Raw genomic sequence first — 11,230 nt, forward strand, 5'->3', positions numbered from 1 at the left:
GCAATCATAGCTCACTATAACTTCAAACTCCTGGGCTCAAGCAACCTTCCTGCCTCAGCCTCCTGAGTAGCTAGGACTACAGGTGCATGCCACCATGCCCAGCTAATTTTTCTATTTTTATTTTTGTAAAGATGGGGTCTCACTATGTTGCCCAAACTTCTCTCGAACTCCTGGCCTCAAGCCGCCCTCCTGCCTTGTGGGCTTGCACTTTAGAAGGCTTCCCTCTGGCCCTCCTTGCAACAGGCCCCTCCCCACAGGGCACAGTATTTCTCGACTATGTTCATGTACCTGAGACACCAGAATTTCCTGCCCAAATGATGCCCAGTCCCCTGCCAGGTGTTAAGTGTGTGACCACAGAGGACAGCTATTTGGCAGGAGTAGAGTGGGGACTTGGATGTATGGACCATCTTGTCTACACATATGTGCAAAACCCCCACAGGGTGTGGAAAAAGGAATGGAAGGAAGTTGCTGGGGTGGCCCTGAGCCAAGGGCCTTTGCTCATGTTCTTATTTGCACTCTTGCAAATAAGGAGAGGCTCTGCAGAGGGCAGGGGGTGCCTGGTCCCACACATTTTAACATTCACTCCTTTCTGCCTAGCTTTATTCTCTAGGCAACAAGAATAGACGCCTTCTGAGGGTGAGAATCATGGCTTATCTTTTTTACATCTTCCATCCTATCAAGGGTTTCTGAACTGGCATGAGAAATTGACTGTGTCCACTAGTGAGAACTTTGGCTAAGCAGGTACCACAGCCCCTCCTCAGAACATTTGCCAACTGAGTCTTTTCCTTTCCCACCTGGCCCTGGCTCAGGGGAGGAGGCTGGTAATCCACAGTCCTGGAGTTACTGGTCACCTTCTTCTTGACTCCAGAGGCAGCCTGTGCCTGGCTGGCTCTGAGAGGGCAGGGCAAATTTTACTCTGAGGTTCCTTGTAGAATTGGAAAGACAGCTGCATATGGTAGGGACTCAATAAATACTGGGTGAGCAAGATGTGAGTAAAACTGGGTGTAATGCTTTTTATTTTTTGAGATGGCTCACTGCAACCTCTGCCTCCTGGGTTCAAGTGCTTCTCCTACTTCAGCCTCCTGAGTAGCTGGGATTACAGGCACATGCCACCACACCCAGCTAATTTTTGTATTTTTAGTAGAGACGGGGTTTCACCAGGTTGGCCAGGCTGGTCAGGAACTCCTGACCTCAAGTGACCTGGTGCCTTGGCCACCCAAAGTGCTAGGATTACAGGCGTGAGCCACCATGCACAGCCCAGGGCCTGATGCTTTCTAGGAAGAAGAGGAGATGGAACAGGCCATCCCAGATGTGTGTGAGGCATGGGAAGGGATACCCTGGAGGGACATTCCTTTAGGGGCCATTAAACAGGCCAGGGACAAGGAGGACCTAAATCAGAGAAAATGCTTTGGGTAAGTTCCATCATAAAATGCTGCCACCCAGAACTAGAGAAACTCCAGGGGCACCCCAGTGGGTGTCCAGGGGGTGGCTCTGAGATGAGGTAGCTTGGCCCAGGGGCTGGTGGCCTCCCCCTGGGGCTAGAGACTGCAAGGCCAGGCCCCCTGGACTGCTTTAGACACTGGGGTCCCACTCTTCTGGCCGGGCTGCAGGTGGTAAAGTCTGGCCTGCTTGTGGGGAATGGGGATAGGCTTGGAAGAGGGAAATCCTTCCTGTGTCCTGAGTGGCTGCCTGGCTCTGGCCGTAGAGATGCTGTCAGGCTATCTGTCTGGAAGAGTAGATGATGGAGCTGATAGAATTTAAAAATGGCCAAGCTCTGTAGCCAGATTCCTGGGCTTCTTGGTGTCCACTGTGCTCTTTTATACCCTCTCTCTTTCTCCTAATTTAATGCACAAGACTACATTCAACTTAACTAGGATTATATGTCTTATAAATTTAATATTTAATATCCAAGCAAAGGCTCCCCCCCTGCATATTTATTAAAGATGTCCTGGGAAGAATGTTAATGAGTCATGACATCATAAATACTTGGAATGAAGGAGCTGGAGACAGGGAAGAGGGAAGAGGGGAGAGAGAAAACCAGATCATTTTAAGAACCAAAGAGGAATTAAATTTTCCTCTCAGATTGGGGTTTGTTGTATAGGCTGCTTGGATTTTCTGGCTGGGGCAGAAATACGATCTCAGGATTCAGAGCTGTGAGCTGTGTTCTTGTCCAAAGCCAGGCAGGCCTGGGGGTACCATGTGTGCTGGCTAAGTCAGACTTGTTTTGAATTTGGGTACATGCTGTGCTTTCAGGATGCCGAAGCACACATTTTAATGAATAATGGAGGAAAACATCCTAGCCAGATGTTGCACCCATTCGTATCCTCTTCTCTGGTTATTTGAAAGTAGCATTGGTGTAGATTCAGCGTTTGGATGCTTGACTTTAATGCTGAATCTCCATCCAGAGGCTTCATATTTTATAATTAAAATAACATGGGAAACCAGGTGCAGAGCTTGGCCATTTGTAAATTCAGCAGCTCCATTGTCCACTCCTCTGGACAGATAGCCTGACAGCATCTCTAGGGCCAGCGCCAGGCAGCCATGCAGGACACAGGAAGGATTTCCTTCTTCCAATCCTATCCCCACTTCCCACAAGAAGGCCAGACTTTACTACCTGCAGCCCAGCCAGAGGAGTGGGATGCCAGCATCTACAGCAGTCCAGGGAGCCTGGCCTTGCAGCCTCTAGCCCCAAGGGGAGGCCCCCAGCCCCTGGGCCAAGCTACCTCATCCCTCATCTCAGAGCCACCCCTTGGACACCCACTGGGGTGCCCCCTGGAGTTTCTGTAGTTCTGGGTGGCAGCATTTTGTGATGGAACTTGCACTACAGTGTGCGCCTGTTGTCTCAGCCACTTGGGAGGCTGAAATGGGAACAGCACTTGAGCTCAGGAGTTCAAGGTTAGCTTGGGCAACATAGTGAGACCCTCATCTCAAAACAAAAACCAAAAACCACACACACACACAAAAAGAACAAAAAACCAGACAACAGGGAAATAACATGGGGAGGAGGAGTGATGGGGCAGAAAGAAGAAGAGAAGAAAGATTCTCCCACGGCTTTGTGGAGGCCTAAAAGCTCATCTCCAGAGCTGGAGAAGAACTTTTTCCTCATTCGATTCCCCAACTGCCTTATTTCTCTAGACGCGAATGATTCACAAATCCCTCTTTCCTGATGGGATTCATTTATTGAACATTTTGGGCTGAAAGGGATAAAAGGACACCAGGATGAGTTTCCCTTCCTGTGCCCTAATGACATCTCAGACAGAGCCCTGGATTTCCAGACCCTTTGTGGAACTAAAAAGCAGCCTGGTCTACACCAATGTAGAACTCACTTCTCAATCTTGCATCCGTTCAGGGCTCCACTCCTCCCTCTGCTCAGCTTGACATGGCCTCTCAGAGTGTTGCTGTGGTGGGGAAGAAATGTCCAAACAGACCTGGGGAAGACTGAGCAGACCTCCTCCTGCTGGGACTGAATGAGATCCAGGCACTCCCTGTCTCTACAAAAGGTTCTGTTGGAGCCCCTTCACTTGACTTTGATTCTGGGAAGCTTCTTCCTCCCCTCCCCTAGGGAAGGCAGGTGTAATTGTAGTTGAGGGGAAGGCCTTCTTAAAAGTTTCTGGCAGCTTCCTTAAGAATGTAGGGAGCACTTCATGCCATTATTTTTGGATTTAAGACCTTAGCTGTAATTCGGCAAGCCAAGGCAATTGGAGAAATACCATTGAGCAAACTCTTTCATTAATATTCTGCAGTTGAAATGATATACTGACAGTCTCATATGCAGAGATTCCCTCCCATCTTCCCATTCATTCATTCACACACTAAACTCCTTGGCTCTTGTATCCTCCCAGGGGCTTAGTGTTAGGGATACAGATGTGAGCAAAACCAGTCATCCTTGCCTTCAGGGAGCTGACAGTCAGTGGAAAGGCAGAACAGCCCATAGAGAATCAGGGGATGGGTAAGTGGCCATGGGAGGGTACTCTGAGGCATCCAGCCTAATTGCTGGTGGCTGTCAGAGAAGGCTTTCTGGATAACTAAGTGAAAACGAAACAGTGAGACCTGAAGGCGGGGTAGGAATTAACTAGACGAAGGGGCTGAGCAACCTAGGCAGAGGGATCAGTATATTAGTTTGTTCTCATGCTGCTAATAAAGACATACCCGAGACTGGGTAATTTATAAAGAGGTTTAATTGACTCACAGTTTCACATGGCTGTGGAGACCTCACAATCATGGCAGCATGAGGGAATAGCAAAGTCACATCTTACATGGCAGGCAAGAAAGCATGTGTGCAGAGGAACTTCCCTTTATAAAACTATCAGATCTCCTGAGATTTATTCACTATCACGAGAACAGCATGGGAAAGGCCCACCCCCATCATTCAATTACCTACAACTGGGTCCCTCCCATGACATGTGGGAATTATAAGAGCTACAATTCAAGATGAAATTTGGGTGGGGACACAGCCAAACCATATCAAACTGTACGTGCAAAGGCCGAGAGGAGAGAAAGCCCAGGGTGATGGGATCATAGAGGGTAGGGTTTGAGGGGGTGAGGATGAAGGGACAGCAGGCACTGAAAGGTGGCCAGAGCCTGAACATAAATGGCCTGGCACCTTGAGGGGCCTTTATCTTGAGGACAACAGGCATTTCTGGCATGTGTCCCACGGTGGGGCGGGGGACAATTCGTTTCCCAGCTACAAAACAATGCTTGGCTCTGGGTGGAGAATGGAAGGTGGGGGGCGGGGCCTTGAGTCAGGGGGACCAGCTAGGAGGTTGCTTCCCTTTCTTCCAGTCCTGTTTGCCACTGGCCTAGTCCAGGGAAGAGAAGCTGATGGCCTGGACTGGGCTAATGGCAGACAGGACCAGGGCAAAGTAGACAGATTTGAAAAATGTCCTGTTTCTTATTTGCATACTCCAATTTTTTATTGCAGAAAGAGCAAAGAAGTCCTCAACAGGGCAAGTGCCCCCTTTGTCTGTGATCTCACCTCCATGTCCAGCCTGTCCACTAGCTTCACCGATGGCCACCCCAAAGATTTACAAGCATAGACTTTAGTCCCTTGGTTCTGGGGTCAAGGCAAATGTAGTTGTAAAGTGAGTTGCCATGGCAACCCAAAAAGAGCTTGGGTTTGGCCTGGCAGATTGGAGGTGATAGAGGCAAACATGCATTGATGAGTGAAGGAGTTTGTGACTCTGACACAGAGCTGAGGAAATCAGAATTGTTTCCTATGTGCCCAGCCACATCACTCTGGTAGGCTAGGCAGTGAGGCCAGGCAGCCCTGGGAGGAGGCAGGTCTGAGTTCTGACCTGGTGGGAACCAGTAGGAGGGTCATGGTGACTAAGGTAACTGGAAGTCTTATGGCCCGTGGGGGATGTATATGGTGGCCTTGCCATCTGAGATCCAAAGGGCAGGGAGGTGCTGCAGTCATGGAGGGGTGGGCAGCAGGCAGATCCCAGGCAGATGGGCTTTGTCACCCAGGAGGGAGTTTTCTGGGAGGGGCTGGGGGGCTTATGAGGGATACCTCAGTGCTGCCCTTGAGAATGTCATGGTAACTCATGGGGCTCTCAGCTCTGTGAGGGCTTCTTTTTTTTAAATTTAAATTTTAGATTCAGGGGGTGCATGTGCAGGTTTGTTACAAGGGTATGTTGCATGATGCTGAGGTTTGGGCTTCTGTTGATTCCATCGCCTAAATAGTAAGCATAATACACAGTAGGAGGCTTCTTGACAGCCCTGGCTCCCCTCCCTTCCTCCCTGCTTTTGGAGCCCTTGATGTCTTTTGTTCCCATCTTTATGTTCATGTGTAGCCAATGTTTAGCTCCCACTTATAAGTGGGAATATGTGAGGTATTGTTTTCCATTTCTATGTTAATTGGCTTAGGATAATGGCCTCCAGCTATATCCATGTTGCAATGGTTGCAAAACATATGATTTCATTATCTTTTATGGCTGAGTTGTACTCCATGGCATATATGTACCACATTTGCTTTATCCAGTCTTCTGTTGATGGGCACCTAGGTTGATTCCATGCCTTTGCTATTATGAGTAGTGCTGCAATGAACATAGAGTGCAGGTCTTTTTGGTAGAACAATTTATTTTCCTTTGGGTAGATACCCGGTAATGGGATTGCTAGCTTGAATGGTAGCTATTTTTAATTTTTTTTGAGAAATCTCCAAACTGCTTTCCACAGGGGCTGAACTAATTTACATTCGCACCAATGGTGTATAAGTGTTTGTGAGGGCTTCATATATCATCGGGAGCTTCAGTAGTAAACTTCCAGGATAGAGTCCAGGGCAGCCTCTTCCCCGCCCCCTCCCTCCATATCCACCTTGATTCTTATTCATGACTGCTCTGCTCCAGTGGTGCCTTCTGTGGTGGTGAGATTCTCGGACACTGTTGGAATTCTCCCTGTTGCATTATACCCTGCTTGTCTCCCTATTAATCATCGGACACCTTGTAGGACTTTGGTGACATCCTGGTGTGAAAGCATTAGACTGATGTTTCAAAGCCTGAGAAAAAGAAGCTAGAAAAGATCTCTGAAGCTCTTTCCACAGATAATCTGCCTTCCTCTTCATTTCTTTCTTTCTTTCGATATCTTAAGAATAGAAGAGCAGAACAGTGAGTGGAATATCTAATTCTACTCATAGCCACCATTTGCTGAGTGTTTGCCATGGGCTGGGCATGGTGACAGGTACTTTATTTTCTATTTTCAATATAGCAGCTCATCACAACCATCCAACAAGGCAGGTACTATGTTATCACCATGGAGAAAATGGTGCCTACAGAGTTACATGAATTCATCCAAGGCTATTCAGAGAATAAGTGGCAGGAAATTAGCTAAGTCCAATGGCAGGTGTTCTTCCTCATCTTCATCTTGACCTGTCAGCAGCATTGGGCACTGCTGACTTCTCCTCCTCAAAACACTTTACTTGGCTTCGGGACACCTCCTGCCTTGCTGGTGGCTTCTTTTCAGACTCTTGTTTTTTTTTTTTTTGGAGATAGGGTCTTACTTTGTCACCCAGCCTGGAGCAGATGGTGCAATCATAGCCCACTGCAGCCTCAAACATTTTTGTAGAGATGGGGTCTCACTATGTTGCCCAGGCTGATCTCAAACTTCTGGCCTCAAGTGATCCTCCCACCTTGGCACCCCAAAGTGCTGGGATTATAGGTATGAGCCACCACGCCTGGCCTTTCCTTTTCAGACTCTTGTTAGTTCCTCCTCCTCTTCCCAACTTCTAGCCATTGAAGGCTCAGTTCCTGTTCTCATCTCTCCCTGTGCTTACTCCCTTGGTGACTTCGTCTAGTGTCATGGCTTTAAGTATCATCTCTACGCTGACCACTTCCATATTTTATCAGTTGTCAATTTTATCCAACTGACTATTTGACACCTCCATTTAGGTATCTAAGGGGACCCCAAAGTTAACACGTCCAAACTCAAATTCCTAATCTTCCATTCCAAACCAGCTCCTCCTGCAATTTCCTGATTTCAATAAATGGCAACTCCATCTTTTTATTGCAAAGACCCCAAAATCTTCGATTCTTCCTCAACTCCTTTTCTCATCCTCCACATCCCATCATCCAGGTTCAGATTCCAACCACTTTCCCATCTTTTCCACTTGCCTGGCCTGGGCCATGCCCATTTCATGGCCAGACACTGCACAAGCTTCCCAGCTTTCCTGTCTTCCTCCCATGTCAATTTTCAACACAGTAGCCTGAGTGACCTTTAAAAATATGTAACTCAGATGACATTATTTCTCTGCCCAGTAGCTTCCAATGGGCCCATCTCACTCAGGGAACAGCCGAAGCCTTCGTGATGGTTTTCAAAGCCCAGCATGACTCAGCCCCAGCACCTCTCACTGCTCTCCCAGCTCCCTCTGCTCCAGCCACCAGGGCCTCTTGCTGTTCCTTGGAGGTGCCAAGCACTTTCCCACCTCCGGGATTTTGCTCTTGCTGTTCCCTCCACCTGGAGTGTTCTTCCCCCAAAGCAGTACACAGTTGTTTACTGCATGAAGGCACCTATTTGGGGGGTTAGTGGGGGCTCGAATGCAGATTTCATTCTGCTTACCGCATGGTGCTTCCACAGGGGTTTGTCCACTCTCAAAAGGCTTCTTTTTGTAATTTGCACAGGGGCTTGCTATGGGCCACTGCTTGTCATGTGGACCCCTAAACTCTGTGGGCCTCAGAGACATCTAGGGGTGCCCTGGAGAGTGAGTTAAGGCAGGAGGTGGGTCTGGGAAGGTGGCCTTGACGGTGAGGAAGGTGTCAGGGTCTTGCCTTAAACTGCCTCTAGAGGTTTTCCTAGTGTCCTTCTGAAGCTCTTACTGACTACAAGAGGGTGTTGAATGAATAGGGGCTTAGCACAGCTTCCTGGGTCAGGCAAGCAGCTTTCATAGAGCTTCAGAGCTGTTTCCACATTCCTGAGACTCTAAGAGGTCTCTTGGCAGGACTTATATGGGGCCTGGCAGGAGATAAGTTCTTGATCTCTGTTCTCCCTGGATCCTACCTCTGTCCAAACCTCTGGGTCTCAGGATACCCTTGTGTGCCAGGCACAGGGGTGACACTATGAGGTTAAGGGCGTGGACTCTCAAGCCAGATTGCTGGGTTCAAATCCCAGCTCCTCGAGCTACTAGTTGTGCGGCCTGACCTTTCCGTACCTTATTTTCCTATCTATAAAATGTCAATAATAATAGTACACATTAAATGAGTTAATATGTATGTGAGATTAAAAGAAACTGGGGCCAGAAGATCTAGCAGCCGAATTCACCTCCTAGGGAATCACAAAAGTATATAGTGGGGGACCCTGCAGCTTGCTGGCATGGTTGGGCACAAGATGAAGGTAGGAAAAACTCATTGAGACGACAGGGACTCCTCTATATGGAGACCCTATTCCTGTAGCCCTGAGGTGCCTGGGTGATGGGTAAAGTCCTGTTGGGGAGGAGGCCTGCAGGGTTTGAGGCTGCAGCCTGCACATGAACTGGGCGGCAGTGAGCACCGATTTGGGGCAGTGGTGGTCCCAGGAAGGGAGCAGCTGTCACAGTGGTCCTCTCTTTGGCTGATTTTGCATTTGAATCACAAGCAGGATAAAGCTGGAGGCAGAAGGAAGCTTCCGAGGTAAACTTGCAGGCAGTGGGAGGCTTGGGCAGAGGCAAAGAGGAAGCTAGTCCTAAGCGTGTGTTGTATCTGCTGGGCTGGCGCTTGCCTCATTTGGAGCTGAGAGCCTTTTTAAGAGAGGACAGGCTTGGTTTTGAGATGGAACGCCATATTTCATATACTTACCAGTAGCCTTTTAAAAACAATTTGAAGCTTCCCTGGGTCAGAGACTGATGTGATTTTCAATGGGCTGACATCAAAGCAGCTCCCCTGAGCATAACGGGATGTCAGGTCCCCACAATTATCTTAGGAAGGGTTGGTTGCCAGCCTGGAGCCCCTAGCCTCCAAGTTCTGGTTCATCTGCTGTATTGTGAAAAAGTAATTTGAGGGAAGGGGAGAAGAAGGAGGAACCTGCCTGGGGCCTTTGCATGGGTCTTGCAAAGGCGAGGGGGACAGGTGGGGGTTACTATAGGTCTTTACATGGCACTGACCAGTAAAAAAATCAAACAAACCGTGACTAACAGGAGGGAGCTGATACCTTTTGTCAAGCAAGAATGTTAGAAAAGAAACAACCTGCTCCCCACCTTAAAAGAACAGAAAGAACAGTAGCAGCAACAACAGCAAAACCCACTGTTACTACTATTACCAATTCGTGAAAGAAGGGATATTTTAACATGAAAAAGGACTATTCCTAGGAGTGGAATATTCTTGGAATAAAGGACAATTTTCCCAAGAAAGGAAGGTTGGCTACCTTGCACGCACGCGCGCGCGCGCACACACACACACACACACACAAACACACACACACACACCTGAATTATCCTTGTTTTTATTTTTCATCTTGTGTGGGTCTGATGAAAACTGTCTCATAAATAGGCCTGCTAGATAAGTTGGCTTAGGGGACAAATGACTCTGGGGCTCACCAAGTGTGGGGTGTGAAGAGAGGACAGTGGAGGGCTTAGATGGAAGAAATGGCTGAGAGATGGTCTGCCCTACTCCAGAGGCTGGTAGAGTGGGGGAATCTTCTAAAAGCAGGCCAGGCCGATTCTTTTAATGCAACACATTTTAGATTCAGGAAAGAACGGGAGCAAGGGGGAATAATAACAGACTCTCTGAAGGTCAATTACTCTGCTTTCCAGTGGACTTTTCTTCCATTTCCCCCTCTTCCTTCATATAGCCCTCACTGTTTGCTGAGCCAATGACCACTGCCCCCTCCATAAAGGTGGACTGAATTTTCCCTTCACAAAGAAGCTCTGTCCAACTCAAAGGCCTAGACATAACTTCATCAGGCTCAAGCAGAGTTCAGCTGGGAAGCCCAAGTCTAGAACTCCCAGGATCCAGTGAAAGTGAAGCACTTTCTGTAAGTTGACAGAAACTTACTTTCTGTAAGTTTACTTCGGCTGGTGGATCACTCCCTGGGGACCCACGTGATAGGTTATTAACAGCTTCTCCAGGAGACACAGTTTTTAGCAGCATCACCTTCAGAGACCTTTCTCAGGCTCAGCTTTTTTATTTGTTGTTTGAAGCTGCTGACTTACATCGTATTTGTCTGCTCTTACTGTGAGTTCTGGCCATCTCCCAAGTGGGAAAATGCCTGGCAAAACATCAATTTCCTCTGAACGGAGATTCTGAATCGTCCATGAAATAAAAGCTTGTTCCCCAAAAGAAGTTTAATAGAGCCACAACACCAAGGTCACATCTGAGCCACTTGGACTTTTGGTGGTACCAGTGACAGAACACCTCAATGTTGGGATACACTGCATTAGTCTGTGCCAGGACACATGTATGGCTATGCCTGTGTGTGTTTACACACACATTCACATGCACACACATTTGCTGAGCCAGGGGTGGGGAGGCAGACTTCTGGGAGAAAGGAAAGGGAGTTTTAAAAGGACAGCTACTCTGTTCTTCACTCTTCTGTGGAATGAACTCTGGGCTAGAGTGAGGAAAGTCGAATCTGGTCCCAGGTCTGCCTTCTAAGTTGCTGTGGGACCTTCATTTCTTTGAACTTCATCTGCCAAATGGTTACAGAGACACTGTATCAGTCAAGATTTAAAACAGGAAAACAGAAATATCTCAAGGTGTTTTGAACAGAATGGAATTTTATACAGAGAATGAAATCTTTACAAAATTCACTGGGAGAGCCAGCAGAAGGA

General features: G+C 48.0%; 4 annotated features.

Moving 5' to 3' along the window:
- Positions 1,394-1,575: a silencer, noted in NCBI's record as "fragment chr7:131410842-131411023 (GRCh37/hg19 assembly coordinates)". NCBI's record gives its function as "represses an EF-1alpha promoter that drives an FKBP-Casp9 reporter gene in an ReSE screen in K562 erythroleukemia cells {active_cell/tissue: K562}" and the evidence as "EXISTENCE:reporter gene assay evidence [ECO:0000049][PMID:32094911]".
- Positions 2,146-2,646: an enhancer, noted in NCBI's record as "H3K27ac hESC enhancer chr7:131411594-131412094 (GRCh37/hg19 assembly coordinates)". NCBI's record gives its function as "activates a minimal SCP1, AML or CMV promoter by ChIP-STARR-seq in naive H9 embryonic stem cells {active_cell/tissue: H9 hESC(naive)}" and the evidence as "EXISTENCE:reporter gene assay evidence [ECO:0000049][PMID:30033119]".
- Positions 2,647-3,147: an enhancer, noted in NCBI's record as "H3K27ac hESC enhancer chr7:131412095-131412595 (GRCh37/hg19 assembly coordinates)". NCBI's record gives its function as "activates a minimal SCP1, AML or CMV promoter by ChIP-STARR-seq in naive H9 embryonic stem cells {active_cell/tissue: H9 hESC(naive)}" and the evidence as "EXISTENCE:reporter gene assay evidence [ECO:0000049][PMID:30033119]".
- Positions 8,514-9,014: an enhancer, noted in NCBI's record as "H3K4me1 hESC enhancer chr7:131417962-131418462 (GRCh37/hg19 assembly coordinates)". NCBI's record gives its function as "activates a minimal SCP1, AML or CMV promoter by ChIP-STARR-seq in naive H9 embryonic stem cells {active_cell/tissue: H9 hESC(naive)}" and the evidence as "EXISTENCE:reporter gene assay evidence [ECO:0000049][PMID:30033119]".

Source organism: Homo sapiens, chromosome 7 (assembly GCF_000001405.40).
Source record: "Homo sapiens chromosome 7, GRCh38.p14 Primary Assembly".
Lineage (NCBI taxonomy): Eukaryota > Metazoa > Chordata > Mammalia > Primates > Hominidae > Homo > Homo sapiens.